General features: G+C 37.0%; 1 protein-coding gene across 6 annotated transcripts in view, besides 2 other annotated features; it reads right to left on the reverse strand.

Moving 5' to 3' along the window:
- Positions 1-17,557, reverse strand: part of SMAD2 (SMAD family member 2) — a 121,916-nt gene that overhangs the window by 80,666 nt on the left and 23,693 nt on the right. For all 6 annotated transcript variants that reach the window (NM_001135937.3, NM_001003652.4, NM_005901.6 and 3 more), the window contains one exon: positions 6,899-7,187. In NM_001135937.3, the coding sequence (NP_001129409.1) occupies positions 6,899-7,134 (236 nt within the window). In that variant the 5' untranslated portion in view covers positions 7,135-7,187. The remainder of the gene's footprint in view (positions 1-6,898; positions 7,188-17,557) is intronic.
- Positions 6,123-6,323: a silencer, noted in NCBI's record as "peak3140 fragment used in MPRA reporter construct". NCBI's record gives its function as "represses an SCP1 promoter by STARR-seq MPRAs in K562 erythroleukemia cells {active_cell/tissue: K562}" and the evidence as "EXISTENCE:reporter gene assay evidence [ECO:0000049][PMID:32103011]".
- Positions 12,354-12,403: an enhancer, noted in NCBI's record as "active region_13287". NCBI's record gives its function as "activates an Ori minimal core promoter by ATAC-STARR-seq in GM12878 lymphoblastoid cells {active_cell/tissue: GM12878}" and the evidence as "EXISTENCE:reporter gene assay evidence [ECO:0000049][PMID:35858748]".

The following is a 17,557-nucleotide window of genomic DNA, read 5'->3' on the forward strand; positions in this document are numbered from 1 at the left end:
TAGCCAGGCATGGTGGCAGGCGCCTGTAGTCCCAGCTACTCAGGAGGCTGAGGCAGGAGAATGGCGTGAATCCGGGAGGCAGAGCTTGCAGTGAGCCGACATCACGCCACTGCACTCCAGCCTGGGTGACAGAGCGAGACTCCATCTCAAAAAAAAAAAAAAGGACTGGAAACAGACCAAGGATGTTGGGAAAACAAAAGATTACTGTAATTTTTTAAATGCCTATTTTAGCTAGGTTGACTCTTTCCTGAAGCTAATATGTTAAACAGGACAAGAAAAGAGGGTATATTGTTCATTGCATCAGGTGTTACATGATAAAATTACAGAAATTGATTAATTTAGGTATAATTTCAGTAATTTTTATAAAGGGACAAAGGTCCTAGGGCAGGTAGGTATTTTCCCTGATAAGGTAAGTGATAAAAATGCCCCATGCAAGAATATACCATATACACAAGGGACTTTGAATACCAGGTCCTGGAGCAGGAGCCCCCTCAAAATACCTAACTGTAAATGTAGGCACCAGATAAGGTCCAGGGCTTAGCAAAGTGCCTTCCAAAGTGTGTTTCACGTGATACTTGACCTCATCACAAGTGCTTTCACATTTATAAACTGTATATGACAAACTGGATGATAAGGCTGATAAAAGGTCCCTATTCCCCATAACCTCAAAGTTCTAATTCATATTTATAAAGTTTTATTGCTCTGACTTTATCAACAAATTTTATACATTTAATAAACTAAATTATACATCATGCAATGTTGCCTGGCAAAAACTTTTTCTAAGCAGAGACAATACATTTTAATGTCTACAATTTAATGTGAGTTCTCCTGAAAAACAAAAATAGAGAACGAAGACCTAGAATATCTGAATATTTCCAATAAATCATATTCCTAGCTATAATGTTTTATAGCTTATGAAGCTCATTTACATTATTTCAATGGACCCAAAAGTCATACTGTGAAAGTACTCAGATAGCACTACTGCCTTTCACAGCTGTGAACAGTAAAAAAAGTACAGTCATATTCCCTAGGATCTACATTCATCAATACTAAAGAAGCTGACACAAAAACAGGTTATCAAACTTGAAATTCAGAGTTCCCTCCACCATAGTGTTTCATACATATTACGATACAGACAGACACACGCACATGCCTATGTATGAATGAGAAGAAAGAATTATCCTATTATGAAAAAGCAGTTGCTTAAGAATGGAAGAATACTACAGTTTGGGTTCAAAAAGACTTCTCTTTAGCTATTCCTGGTTACCTAGAGAAGCAAAAGGGTATGAACATGAGGTTAGAAATAAAAGATGACAGTTTTTTTAATGACAACTGCTCTATTCCAAGACAGTCTGCATAAAGTTACTAATTACTCTGATGTTTAAAAGTCTGTAAGAGGTGGCCGGGCATGGTGGCTCATGCCTGTAATCCCAGCACTTTGGGAGGCCGAGGCGGGCGGGTCACCTGAGGTCAGGAGTTCGAAACCAGCCTGACCAACATGGAGAAACCCTGTCTCTACTAAAAAATACAAAATTAGACAGGCATGGTGGCGCATGCCTATAATCCCAGCTACTTGGGAGGCTGAGGCAGGTGAATCGCTTGAACCTGGGAGGCGGAAGTTGCAGTGAGCCGAGATCCCGCCACTGCACCGCAGCCTGGGCAGTAAGAGCAAAACTCTGTCTCGTTTCTAAGAGGCAAAACAAAATCCAAATGTTAATGGCAGCATTAAAAAGAAACATCCTGGAAGGACACATGAGGAACTAGTAATACAACGTTCACTACAGAGGAAAACTGGGTGATGAAAAAACAGGGGTGGGAGGGAGACTGATTTTTCCACCGTATAATCATGGTTGATTTTTCAGTTATGTACATGCTACTTTATGTTTTTAAGTAACTTTTTTTTTTTTTAAAGGGACAGACTCTCACTATGTTGCCCGGTATGGAGTGCAGTGGCTGTTCACAGATGTGATCACTGCACACTAGCCTGGAATTTCTGGGCTCAAGTGACCCTCCTGCCTCAACCTCCCAAGCAGCTGGGACTACAGGTGAATGCTGCCACGTCTGGCTAGAAATACACTTTTTGAAGGCAAAAACAGTCATAAACATACAAATATCAGAATGCTAAAAAAAATAGAATTGCCTTTTAACAGAAAAAACTGACTTCAAAGAAAAAAGACAAGAATAGTCTTGTCATAAATAGACACGAATTAAATTGCCCAAAAGTCCTATTTAAACATTTAATTGTGCTGACTATAAAAGTGATATACTTTTATATATAAATACTAGAAAAAAAAATACAGGACTTTTCTGGGTCACCCATACTCATTACTAAAAATTTGGTCAATTAATCTCTAAAAGTTCATAATTAAGTGTTAACATTTTTAGAAGTATGCTTTATCAAGCTAAGAAAACTCTTATTTCTAATTTGTTAATATGAATAGCAAATTTTATAGAAAGCCCTTTCTGGATCCATGATGATCATAAAGTGCTTCTTAAATATGATTATGTGGTATCTTATACTAATAGATTTCCTGTAGTTGAGTCATCCTTGAATGACAATAAACATTACCTAGACATTTTTTTTTTTTTTTTTTTTGAGACGGAATTTTGCTCATCGCCCAAGCTGCAGTGCAGTGGCTCAATCTGGGCTCACCGCAACCTGTGCCTCCTGGGTTCAAGCAATTCTCCTGCCTCAGCCTCCCGAGTAGCTGGGATTACAGGCACATGCCACCACACCCAGCTAGTTTTTGTATTTTCAGTAGAGACCGGGTTTCACTATGTTGGCCAGGCTAGTCTGAAACTCCTGACCTCAGGTGATCTGCCTGCCTCGGCCTCCCAAAGTGCTAGGATTACAGGCGTGAGCCACCATGCCTAGTTATGTTTTTGTGGTTTTGTTTTTAATAAACCACTGAATTCTAGTTTCTGATATTTTATTTATGACTTTTGCATCTATGTTTATAAAGAGTGGCATAAACTTTTCTTTCGCTATTCTTGTTTAATTGTGGTATAAAATAAGCTTAAGTGTTCTTTATTAAAGAAACTAAAGGTTAGGACTGGGTTTTTTCTAATTCATATTAAAAACAATACAGATTCCAATGGACTGGTGGAAAAAATGATACTGAAACAAACATCAGGAATCTTTGACAATATTCTGATTATTTCCTTGGGATGAAAGATCAAAAATGTGATTACATGGTCAGAGTACCACCTTAGGAAAGTCCTTTTAATTTATGCTTATGAAAATAAATTTTGCATTCCTATACATTTATGTATAATCAATATTATAAAATAGCCATTTTAGACCCCATAGTCCTTACTTTTAACTTTACAGACCTCCATCCCCACTGCAATTTCAATTTTGCTTTACTGTGGATAATAATATATTGAAAGCTTTTTCCTTATGTCTGATTCTTTATCTAAATATCAATTGCCATTCTGATTTCACGACCAAGTTGTCTCCCATCCCTCGGACTCAAAAATGTTTGAGATGAAAAAGCTTCCTGAAATTTTTTATTATTTAGCTCACTGCAGCTTTTATTGAGGTTAAGCTCTACCTATAAATTACTCTGTGTCACCACAGAAAATGGTGGGAAGGGAGCGACAGTGACGTATCTATAACTACAGCTTTTAAACTGCCAGAGGCAACAAGAGTAATGAGATGAGGGGAGTGGGAGGGACACAAAGCCAGGACTATGTTTCTGCCCTAACTTTAACCCCACTCTAATATTAAGGGGCTGAAAGTAGAGAGGAGGAACTGTTCAGTAAACATTTCAACAGAAAACATTTGCCATTTCTTAAAATTAAGCAATTTGTTTCCCGTTCTTCATCAGCTGAACTTAGTTGTATTTTTTGGCTTATAAAACCATAAAGGCACTTTACTAACATTTTACTTGAAATTCTGAGTAAACGTGCTTACAAATCCATTGTGTATCACATTTTGAATAATTCTGTTTAAGCTAAGGTTTGGATTTAGCCATAACAAATCTTTTCCATCCCACTTCCCATCTTTTACACTCTACATATAAATGAGTTCCCTGAATTCCAACTAAATTTCTTACATTTAAGAATATTTAGTTGTTAAGAAATGACTAATAACCTGACACAATTTAATTGTTCTACTACTAAAAACAAGCTTTATAAAATATATGGCACTAAGCTACAGTGTGTAAAAAGTTAAAATTTTTTTGATAGACCATGATCAATAATAACAAATCTCCATTTTTGCAACATCTAAAAAAACCACCAAATTAGGCAAATTTCTACGCTTCAAGGAAACTTCAATAGTGAAAAACAAGATAATGGACAATTATCACTTCAACTTCATTAATCAGGTGAGAGGGCAGAAAAAAATGTTTTTAATGATGAAGCAGCTCCAGAATATGAGCTCTCAGAGATCTCTATCTCCAAAAGAGGCTGTAAAAAGAATGGGAAATAAGGAAAAGAGCTATGACTAAGGTGACCTCCTCCACAGGTTAAATACCAGCAATGGCCAATTTTAGTACTGCTGTACCTCCCTAAAAGATTAGACTCTCTCAGGCTCTGCTCTGGATAACCTCACTGCAATGGCAACTTGAGCCTTGTTGAAGTTGTGCAAAAACATGGCTCTATCTCTGCTGTATCACACAGCTCCCTTCAATCAAGTGATACCAGTCTCCCGGCCTCCATTCTTGACAGCCTCAAGGAGTTTTCTCGCTGCAACCCACGTTGCACTTGAAATTAATCTGACTTCTGAGCCTTCAGACCCTACGGCACTTAAACGGCCCCAACCTCACCCGTCACCCTCAGGTTAAGTGTGAACACTGGCACAGCATGAAGTGACTCCTTACTACCTATACACACTATGGCCATTTGCCACCCCTTACTTTATACTCTAAGGATACCCAACTTGTTTGGAACGCTTCACCAATCCTCCCCCACCTCCCAATCTCCACACCACCGCACTACATGTGATGAAACAGGCTTCTCCTAATTCCTCCTTTACCCCGCTCAACTCAAAATCACCAGTATTCCTCCAGAAGGAAACTTTCCACAAGCCTCCTCTGGATATAGCCCCAAGCATACTTCTTTTATAACATCTACCAAGCCTCATGAAACCATCTTTTTCTAAGTTTATCTCCCTTACTAGGAAGTAAGTAGTTTAAAAGCAAACACTGTATCTTAACTCCAGTGAGGAAGAGCACACCAGGCACATAGTGGGCATATGATAAATGGTTACCTAATTGAAATCCCAAGCACTACACAATGAAGAATGAAATATAGCTTGACTTCTCAGCCCATTCACCAGGAAGTCCTCAGTTCCACTTCTAAAACCCATGCCAAATCTGTTTACTTCGTGTGCTAGCACAGCCACCACGCCAGTCCAGCCTCTATCGTCTTGCATTTAGATTCCTCACAGCCTCCTAATTTTCCTGCTTCCATCTACCCTACTACACACATACCACTCTCCCGCAGCCAGAAAAATCTTTGTAAAAATATGTAAGATCCTCTTTAAAATCCATCAGAATAAACTTACTTGCATCCTGTTATATTCAGACTAACATTCAAACTCTCACCACACTCTAGGATGCCCTGTATAAGCTTTGGGCAAGTCTTGTCCTCCATCTACACTGGGCTCCTTTTAAATATTCTAATACAAGAAGCTCACCTCAGTGTCTTCACTCTGGCTCTTCCCTCTGCCTAGAAGACTCTTCCCTCAGTTGGCTGCTGCTTCTCCAAGCTCCACGCAAGCATCACAATCCGACCCAAAGCAGCTTTTTAATTCTTCATTCTATCATATCACTGCATTTGGTTGTCTTCTTTGCACTCATTACCATATCAAATTATAATTAATTTGTTTACTTGTTTATCGTGTATTTCTATCCCTTAGGAAGGCAGGAGTTTTGTGTTTTGTTAATCACTGTTATCCTCATATGTCTAGAAACAGTGCCTTCTACATAGCAAACACTCAATAAGCATTTGTAAAACAAATCAACAAACCAAAAAAGCAACCTTTAAGATATACATAAAACAAGTAAGGGAAAGAAATGGATGGTCTACCAAACAAGGCAAGAAACATTCTACTGTTAGTATTTGCAACTAGACAGGCTGCACTGGTGTTATTGGGATCTGTTATCTATAAGCATCAAAAGTGTACTTCTCAAAGTTCAAAGTCAAGTAGAATGGTTTCACATGCTATATGCTAGCCCACGGTATGACACTGCAAACTATCATTTTAGAGAATTCTTACATTTAACAATCTCCCCAAAATCTGTAATGTACACAAGTAGTAAAACACACTTTAAAACACCTGTCACTTAATTAAAAAACAATACTTATGACAGTGGTACTTATCTGTAAATGATTAAATTTATCCTCAGAAAACTTCAGACTTTTAAAGTAACAGGTCCTCCTAACCTAAGAGGCAGGTCTTTAAGACAGGTTCTGACTAATGCCTACAACAATTAAGAAGCCACCTAACACACTATTCTTTCTTGGAAGCAATGCTGCAACGCAAAGAAAAACCATATAAAATTCATTAAAAAGTGAGCAGCCTCTTTTCACCCCTGATGAAAGTTTTGACTAAAGGAGGAGAAAACTGTAGGTTGCTACTATGTTAGTGATAGAAAAAGCTTCAATTCTTTATTCAAGTATCATTCAATCACGGAAATGAGGATAACATACAAATGTAGGCAATGAAGATAATAAATCTAAGTATCTTATTTAGCTTGATTAAACCTCACTATTCAAGAAAATAATTTATAAAACAAGTCAGCTAGCAAAAACAATTTATACAAGGTTAAAAACAGTCATATTTCAATCATCACTTTTTACAGGCAACTTGAAAGGAACACAAATTCAGTAACTTTCCTTCAGATTCCTTGACATAATTTGATCAAACCTGGGATCTAACAAAACTTACCTTGGTATGGTAACACATTTAGTATTACAGTTTTGAGTGGTGATGGCTTTCTCAAGCTCATCTAATCGTCCTGTTTTCTTTAGCTTCTTCACCAGACTTTTCACTGCTTTCTCACACCACTTTTCTTCCTGCCCATTCTGCTCTCCTCCGCCTGCTCCTCCAGACCCACCAGCTGACTTCTTCCATCCCAGCAGTCTCTTCACAACTGGCGGCGTGAATGGCAAGATGGACGACATGTTCTTACCAAAGGCAGCAAGCCACGCTAGGAAAACAGCCTCTTGTATCGAACCTAGCAGAAATATTGAAAGGATGATGTAGAGACTACCTTGAACATCAAGTAATAATTTCAACTTATCATAGAAAGCAAACTGCAAAGCAAGATAGAAATTCGAATTATGACTTTCCCAATAGACTTCTCCACCCATGAAAACGTTATCTTTATGAATTTAAATGAATGATGGAAACAAACCCTTCTAAAAACAAGAATGTTGTAAGGACTCCTCTTGTGGGAAAATACAGTAATTTTGCAAGTAAAATCAGATACTTTTAACGATTTTTCACCACCAATACTATTTTAAACTCTTAGTAGTGTCAATTAAAATATTTTCACAAAAGGTTCTCTTACTTTTTAGAACTTCACTCTAATCTCAAAAGACTATACAAAAATACATTGAAAATTTGTAAGCCCACTCTCCCCCGGGTTTTAAACTTTCATAACTAATAGGAGGCAAAATCTACAGTTACAAGAAGGGAAAATGCGTAAAGTGTGAAGTAATCAAGAATAAAGAAATAAACATGGCAAACAGAGTCCGTGGAGAAAAGCTGTAGTCCGGTTTCACCTGCTCTTGAGAGAAATTTTTTAACACATGTTTTTTTCATTTTCATCTAAATAACAATTTGCATAGTGAGTAAAGTCAGATAGTTTCTCTTCCCAATTTAAGGAATTGTACCTTGTCTTTTCTCTTCCATAGGAATCATTTTTATTAAGCTGTTTTGTCTATTCAGCGTCATTTTACAAATATAAACATGTATACATACAACTAACCACATTCCCACCTTATTGCTGTACAAAAGTAGCATAATATTCCTTATTTTGTATATCTTGAAATTATTTTTTTATTTTTATTTTTTTGCTTAATTCCCTGTAGGTCATTCCTTATCAGTTCACACAGAATTTAGAAAGCACTGTCCCCTCAATTTTCTAGACTCCACTACTGATACTGGTAAGTCCCACATAACTTTTATTCCTGATCCTTTAATTGGGGTTTAAAAATTGTTTCGCTCCAGAAGCTCTTAATATCTTAGCTCTTACGCTTTTCTTTCCTTTGCCTTCAATTTTAGTGAGATATAGGAAAAAGGAAAATGAATGTGTTCAATTTGCCATATTTAATAAAGTTCCCAAAAGGCATCCTTTTTAGAAAGTAAAGAGGTCTGTAGTCTTTACATCACACACCCCAAATACTGAAATTGTAGTTTTCAAAGTGTATCTTTAAGAAAACAATGATGCTTACATTTTCATTAGTTTGTTCCTTAATTATCATAATGATCAGACAATAGTTTTTAAACGTAGAGGAGGAAGTACAAGTTAAAATAATAATAAGGCATCATTTCATGCCCAATCTAGCTGGCAAAAATTGAATTAATTAAAATACCTACTGCTGGAGAAGATGTGAAGAAATTGTTATCATTCCACATTGCTGGTGAAAAGGTCAAATGTGACAGCTTTATTCTAAGTAATCTGGCAATGTGCCACGTGTTACAACTAGTAACTGGATTATACGTGTATAAACAAAAATCTAGGATATTAATATGGGTTGCAGATATACCAATATGCAGAAAAGGGGGTGAAAAGATGAAAAAGGCTGAATGATATGGCCATTGTGTATGTTTTTGTGTATGTGTGTACAAAAAACTGGATAAAACATTTTTAAAGGAAAAAAACAGTTTTTAAGCACACTTTGCACATATTCTTAACGTTAAAGAAGATCCTAACACAAGATGCAAATTTATTTCCCATCAAAGAACATGGCTAATTTTCATAGATTATATGCTAAGATTCATTTCCAATGTACACAAACTGCATTCCTGCTCTAACCTCTCCATAATTCCATTATTTTGGTTTGCACCACATGGAAGAATAATTTTTTTTTTTAAATATTCCCTCTTCTCAGGATGGTCAATGACTAGTGAAGAAGACTGCCATGATTAAAATACACATGACAATTAAGAGAAATTGCAAGGGGGATTACAGGTACACAAAGAAACACCATCTGATTTTGCTTTAGGCGTCAGGAAAGATTTTCCTGAGGAAATATTTGCACTTCCTTGGCAGCTTGCCATTTATTCATTCCTTTTTGCATTCAACAATTTTTTTTTTTTGCCTGTCTATTGTGCCTGTATTTACCTGTTTATTCTCAAATCCAGTCTGTGTTATTCATCTGCAAACTACACTGTTGAGCTGGGACGGGTAGGACAAAAGAAATCCTTTGTAGCAAGGTATTGGCAGTGGGGAATGGAGAAGGGGTAAGTTTTTAAGGGCAGAGAGATCAACCAGCAGAGAATTGCAATACACAAAAGGAAGAATAGCTATTAGGGACATAGAAGGAACAGAGTTGATTAAGAAAAAGTTACAAATTACAGGTTCTTGCTTGAAAAACCAGTTGAATGAAAATACAATTCGCCAAAATACGAAGTATTTGGGGAACATAAGTGTTGTGTTAGTCAAACTAAATTTGCTGTGACTATGAAATTCCAGAAGGAGGTGCCCGATAAGCAGCTAGAAACAAAGGTTTGGAGCTTAGCAGAGAGATCAAACTGTCATGTGGTAATGAAACGCAATGCTGGTATATGGGAGAGCTCAGAAAGCGCCAAGTTCAGTGAAAAAAAAATTCTAAGAAATACATATAAAGGAGTTATCAAATGTGGAAAAAAAGTGGATGATTAGGGAGAAAGGTGTCATGAATACAAAGGACAATTTATAGCAACACAACATGGTAACACAACTTTTAAGTGCCAACACTAGGATTTATATCAAGCAGCATGATGCCAGAGAACAAGTACTTAATTGTGTCAATGCATTGTGTTGCACATAACAATCTGAAGCTAATCTGGAGACCTAAAAAGAGCCATTAAAGGCTGAGCTCTTTATACAATCAACAGAGCTATCTGTGCCTGACAAATTAGTCCATTAGATAGGATTAGAATGACACATTTAGCTCCAACTCCTTTCTCAATCTACAAATCATTTAACTAGTCTTTCAGTCACCACCTTCTACCTTCTTTGATGCAAACAGCTTTCTAAAATGCATACTGCATGTCACCCTACTACTAAAAATCCTTCAATATTTGCAAAAAGTAACAGTAAAATGACTTAATATCCTTTAAGAACCCATAAACAGTGTAATGCTTCAGAGAACAGATTCTGAAGCCAATTGGCCAGGTTCAAATCCCAAGGATGCCACTTACTAGCTGCATGGCAACCTCTATACACCCCAGTTTTCTCAGCTGTAAAATAAGGATAACAGTACCTATCTTAAAGCCAATATAACAACCTCTATAAAAATGTAATATGAGCTACATATGTACTTTAAGTTCTCTAATGACATTTTAAAAAGGGAAAGAAAATAGGCAACATTTTAATGATGTATTTAACCCAATATATCCAAAATGCCATCATTTCAACCTGCAATCAATATAAAAAAAATTTTCATACTAAGTCTACAAAATCTGTTGAGTACTTTACACTTACAGGACAACTCAACTAGGACTAGCCACATTTCAAGTACTCAATAGCTACACAAAGGTGCTGCCTACCCATATTGAATGATCCAGCCCTAACTACTCAAAATTTCTGCCTACTCTGCCTATCCCATATTCTCCATAAACTGTTCATAAATGCCTCTATTTAACGGCTGTAGGATCCGTAGTGATGTGACATTTTTCAATTCCTATTATTTAAATTTATGTTCTCTCTCCCCCTCCCCATCCTCCTTTTATCAGTTTTGCTAAGTGGTCAATTACATTAATCTTTTCAAAGAACCAACTTTTTCTTAGCTTTGTCAATTTTCTCTATGTAAGATTACTTTCTATTCACTAATTTCTGCTCTTGTCTTCATTATTTCTTTACTTCTACTGTCTTTAGGTTTGATTTCCTATTCCTTTTCTACCTCCTTAAAAAAGCTTTCTTTTCCAATGCATAGACTTAAGGCTATAAATTTCATCTTAGCATTTCAGCAGCAGCAATCTAGATCATTGTAGTTCACCTTCATTTTCAATCAGTTTAAAATATTTTCTAATAGCCATCATAAATTCTTATTTTAAGTCATATGTTATTCAAAAGCATAGTGTTTTATTTCTAGGCAGCTAGGAATTTTCTAGTTATTTTTATTTACTATAATACAAACAACATATTCAATTATTAAAATCAATGATATTTGCTGAGGCTTTGTTCATGGCCCTAGCTTATGGTCAATTCTAGTACAATTTCCATGTGCAAGGGAAAAGATGGTTAATACCACCATTAATAGTTTCAATGTTCTACATATGACAATTAGATCAAGCCTGCTAATTGTGATGTATGTATGTCCTATATATGTGCATCCATTGTGATGGCATATTTGTCTGTTTCTTTTAGTTCAAAATAAAATTTTTGGTTTATAGATGTTTGGGCTATTTTACTGGGTACACATAAAGGATTGTGGTAACTCTGGTGGATCAATCCCCTTACACTATAAAATGTAGTTCTCTTTTTCTACTACTGTTTATTGTATTAAAGTCTCCTTTGCCTGATTGGTATAGCCACACTTATTTCCTTCAGTTAGCATTTGGATGGTATACCTTTTCGCATCATTTTCTCTCAATCTTTCTAGGTACTTATATTTAGGTAATTATTATTTGTCCAGTCTGATGATTTTTGCCATTTACTTGAAATATTTAGCCCATTTCCATGTAACATAATTACTAATTTAGTTGCCTGCTTGTTTTATATTTTCTTTCTTGTCTTCTTCTGAATTTATCACATATTCTATATCCAATTTTTTTCTGTATTCATTTGTTACATTCTTTTCTTTTAGTGGTTACCCTAGATATTTTCTTATTCATCCTTCACTTAACACAATTTTCATACATATACTTTTACTACTTCCTCTATAATGCCAGAATCATAGAACACTGCTGAGTAGCAGTTTTGCTATGAAGGAGACTACCTCTGGTTTGTCCCTGTTCCTAGGATGAGACTCTGCAGAGCCTTCATTTCAAAAGCTAGCAGATCGTTATCTTCTAGGTACCTAGATACTATAAGAATTGCTTTGTTTTTAAGAGACTTCTGGTTTAGCTCTCTAGCCTAAGCAGCTTCAGAATTTGGCAAATGTCTACGGGGGAAGAAACTGGGTGTGTTGAAAATCATCAGTGTGTATTCACCACTTCCTCAAACGCTTTCAACTCTCACCTATTGTTCTCAAGTCGCTTCCCCTAGAGAATCTTTATCTCAACACCATAGGACTAGAAAATATCCCAATCTCCTTTTCTGAGATTTTGGTTTATCTCTTCCGCCCAGCTGAACTACAGAATTTAGGAATATACTGAGGGCGTTCTCTGTGTTTAAAGGCCCCTCATATTTCCAATCTGCCACTCAGGCTGCAGCCCAAAGGCCTCCTCTACTCTGTACCCAGGAAAAACAATGATCAGCTGCAGACCTCTCAGCTCACTTGTGAAAGGTATTCCCCCAGGGTGCAAAATTTTGCTTTCTTTAATCATTTTTACACCCATTGTTCTCTATCGCTAAATATATAAATTTTGTAAATTACCTGGCTTTTCTAGTTGTTTTATTAAGAGTCTTGGACTACCAAGAACTACTGCATCCTATCCCCCAAAACGTTCTAATTCCATTTGAATAGTAAGTCTTCCACAACTATAAATCTATGAGTTGAAATAATTTGTTGATGACTTTAATTTCAAAATAAGACACAAGATCACTTACCACTTGAGGACAGAGATGGAGAGTTAAGATTTGAGAACAGGAAAAAATAGAGAAACGTAGCCCTGAGAAAATCAACCATTATGAAACAACAGAAAACGTGTCAGTTATGTATTATCAGACTATATACTTAAAAAGTATTCCATAGAAGGAATTCCACTTCTGATTAGGACGTAGAAAGTTACAACAGAGCATCACTTTCATTCTAATAATCAAAACTAGCCAGATAAGCTACAAAATCATGGTCTCTCTGAACCAGAGTTGAGGATACAAAGCAGCCTAAGAAGAACTAAATTCCAAGTGTTGAGCCTTGAGAGAAGAGAGGCTGCATGGATGGTCTCTTTCCTGGTGGAGCGGCTAGTGAGGAATAATCCTGCCATAAATGAAAGAAAGAAGAAACCAGCCTACATGCACACCGACATGACATATTAAATTGCAAGGATCCCACAGAGCAAGTGTGCATCCACCCCAACCACTCATCCCCATAGGTTTCCACTAAGTACTTGCAAAAAGTATGTCAAAGCTTGGGGAACAGGACTGGAAAGCTGAGGGAGATCCCCTAAGGAGCTTAAGATCTCCCATAAATGCAAAAAATCTACCCTCATCAATGGGGGATGGGGGGAGGGACAGGCAAGAAAGGTGAGAAAAAGATGATCCCAAGAGAGTCTAGACATTGAGCTGCCAAGGGCTGCGGTAGGACAGGAAAGATGAGAAAACTTTCACCCAGATACTCAGGACATTGATCTACCGAGGCTGAAATGAGTAGCGAACTTGAAGACAGGGTAGGATTGCTAAAAGAAACCTCTGGAAGGTATTAATAGCAGAAAGATGTCTCACTGGGCACAAAAGCTTGGAGGCAGGACTAGAGAAAGAGGGGGTGGGGGGAAAGAAAATAAGAATGACCAAGGAATTGACAGCTGAGCTATAGAGAAATTTCTCATGGTTCAGAAAGCTGACGGCTCAGCTATAAACCAAAAAGAGATCCAAAATCACACTTGGACAAAACAAGAAATGATGGACCATTTTCTAAAAGTAAATATTATTTACTTCAATCTCCATTGTTTTTATACAAATGTTCAGCATTCAATCAAAAATTACAAGATACAGGGAGTAGCAAACAGTCAAAACATGAATAAAATCAGATAACTATAATAAAAATGCTAAAGAAACTGATGGAAGAGATAGCAACATGAATAATGAAAAAACTTCATCACAGATATCAAAGTTACAAAAGAGGATCACAGGAAAACGTTAGAAATGAAAACTATAGTATTAGAAATTAAGGATACCATTAGATGGGCTTAACAGAAATGAGCAGTGAACTTGAAGACAGGCCAAATTAAAGTATGCAAATTGAAACACAAAGAGGGAAAAAACAGTGTGGGGGGGGGGGGGACTCAGAATATCCAAAACCAAATGTCAGTTGGGTTTAATTGGGGTGCCAGAGAAAGATGAAAGACAATGGGGAACAAAAAAATGTATGAAGAGATAATGGCCATAAACTTTTCAAGAGATGACAGATATTAATCCACATATGGAAAGAAAACACATTCATGGTCAACCTGCTGAATATTAAAGATAAAAGTAAGGATGAAAGGCCGAGCTAGGATAACAGTTAAAATCCCTGGGAGTCCTCGATAGAAAGAGAATCTGCACTCATTCACAAGCTCTTTTCCAAGGGCCTCAACTGAGTGCTCTTGAAAAAAGGCAGAAAACGGAAGAGAGCTCCTTCCTCCCATTTGGTGGCATCTCGTATGAAGCAAATGCCTTCAACTATGACGGGAGAGGCAGGAAAGTCTACCAAACCCAAGGGCAAGCAAAGATCCCCTGCCTCAAAGGGAAGGGTAGAGCAAAAGACATGTGCTGCTGAGTTGGGGGATTTGTGGAGCAAAACTTACTTGCCCATCTCCCACACACAAACATGCCTTTCACTCTGTAACAATAACCACCATATTCTACTGCCACGGGAAGGGAGGAAACATTGCTACCACCAGTCCCAGACAAAGGCACACAGATGCTGAGGAATGAGAAGCAACAGCTGTCTGATACTGAAAAAGGGACAACAAGCCGGCTTGGGCCCAAGATCCCGTACTAATACACAGCAAAGGTCTGTTACTACTAGATGCAAAAATCCTAAACAAAATATTAGCAAATCACATCCAGCAACATAATAGAAAAGGTCATCATCACTAAGTAGGATTTATCCCAAGGAGCAAAATTGGTTTAACATTCAAAAATCAAGCACCTCATTTATAGTACAAAGGAGAAAACGCACCTATGATTCTCTCAAATGAGCGAGAAAAAAGGTATCTGAAAATGTTAATTCAACACTCATCTATAATTTAAAACTCCCAGCAACACTAGAAAAGAATGTTCTTCAATCTGAAAAGGACATCTATGAAAAACCTAGAGCTAGCATATGTCATAAAGAAACATTAAATCTCTCCCTTACAACTGGGAATAAGACAAAGATGTCCACGGTTACCCTTTCTATTCAGTAATGCATTGGATATTGTAGACAGGACAACTATGCAACAAAGAAAAGATAGACTGGAAAGAAATAAATAAAACTGACTTTATATTCTACAGTGATATGACTGTCTCCATGGAAAAGTGCATGGAATCTACAAGTAATCTACTTACTGGAACTAGTAAGTAAATTTAGCAAGGTTTCAAGATAAAGGGTCAAGATTTGGAAAATGAAATTTCAAGAAATACGCTTGAAACAACAGATATTTTCTACATATCTAAAGAAAGATACTCAAGATCTCAACACTAAGAATTACAAAATATTGCTAAGAAAAATGAAAAACACTGAACAAAGAGAGATCATGTTCATAGACTTGAAGATTCATATTGCTTAAATGTCCATTCTTTCCAATTTGATATATGGATTCAATGTAATCCCTACCAAACTTCCAGCAGAGTTAAGCAATTCATATGATATAAAATTCATATGGAAACAAAAAAAAAAACTAGAATAACCAAACCATTCTTGAAAAAGAAAACTGGAGGCCTTACACCACCTTATTTCAAGGCTTACTAAAAAGACTTAGTAATCAAGAGTATAGAGTAGGCATAAGAAAAAAAGATCAGTGGAACAGAACAAGTCTAGAAATAGACCCACACATATACAGTCAACTCATTTTCCAGTAAGGCCCAAGGTCAATCTAGTTTTCAACAACTTTTCAACAACATGGAAAATAACAAGCCTCAACCACAAGTGCATACCATCTTCAATGGGAAAGCAGAATCTTAAGCTCTTAGAGGAAAACACAGAATACATTCATGACCTTAAAACATAAAAAGCATTAACCACAAGAGAAATACAGTTGAGCCACGCATGGTGGCTCACACCTGTAATCCCAGCACTTTGGGAGGCCAAAATAGGAGGACTGCTTGAGCTCTAGTGTTCAAGACCAGCCTGGACAGCATGGCAAGACCCCATCTCTACTAAAAAACAAAAAATACAAAAAAAATAGCTGGGCGTGGTGCCTCCTGTGCTCCCAGTTAGGAGGCTGAGGTGGGAGGATCATTTGAGCACAGGGGTGCGGAGGCTGCAGTGAGCCAAGATCACTCCATTGCACTCCAGGCTGAGTGGCAGAACAAGACCATGTCTCAAAAAGAAAAAAAAAGAAATAGAAAAAGAAAAAAAAAATACAGGCTGAGCATCACAAATCCGAAAACTGAAATCTAAAATGCTCCAAAATCTGAAACTTCTTGAGTACCAACATGACACCCCCAAAAAAACGGTCATTGTACTATACAGCTATAATGCAAATATTCTAAAAATTGGAAAAAATCTGAACCACTTCGGGTCCCAAGCATTTTGGATAAGGGATACTCAAATCTGTGTATGTAACATAAACCAACAAAATTTAAAAATCACACAAAAAGGTAAGCTCAGCTTTTTTGTTAAACAGGAAAAGAATAATAGACATGTCATAAAAGACACAGGAGCACATGAAGAGGTATTTAGTATCACCAATCATCAGGAAAACGCAAACTAAAACCATAATGCAATACCATTTCACACCATCTAGAATGGTTTAAAATTTTTCTGACACTACTAAATGTTGATGAAGATGTGGAGTGTATTAGTATACTACTGCTGCTGTAACAAATAATCGCAATCACAGCACAAATTTAGCAAAATCAGTTTCAATGAACTACAGTCACAGTGTTGGCAGGACTGATTCCTCCTGGAGTGTCTGAGGGGAAGTTCGTCCTTGCCTTTTTCAGCTTCTAGTGGTTACCTGTAGTCTTTAGCTTGTGCTCCCTTCCCTTAGCTTGTGCTCTCTCCCCCACCTTCAGAGCACATCATTCCAATCTCTGCTTCCATCGTCACACTGCCTTCTCTTCTGTATTCAAATCTCCCTCTATGGCCTTCTAGTAAGAGCTCTTGGCATTACATTTAAAGCCCACCCAGATAATCCAGGATCATCTCTCCATCTCAAGATCCTTAATTTAATCACATCTGTAAAGTCTCTCTTGCCATATAAAACAACATTCACAGGTTCTTGGGATTAGAACCTGAATATCTTTGGAGACCATGATTCAGTCTACCACATCAAGCAACTAGAACATTCATAAACTGCTGAAATGAAAGTATAAAATGGTATATAGCACAATTGGAAAACCGGCAAGTTCCAAAAAGTTAAACATAGATCTACCCTGTATCACAC

This window comes from Homo sapiens, chromosome 18 (assembly GCF_000001405.40).
Source record: "Homo sapiens chromosome 18, GRCh38.p14 Primary Assembly".
Classification (NCBI taxonomy): Eukaryota; Metazoa; Chordata; class Mammalia; order Primates; family Hominidae; genus Homo; species Homo sapiens.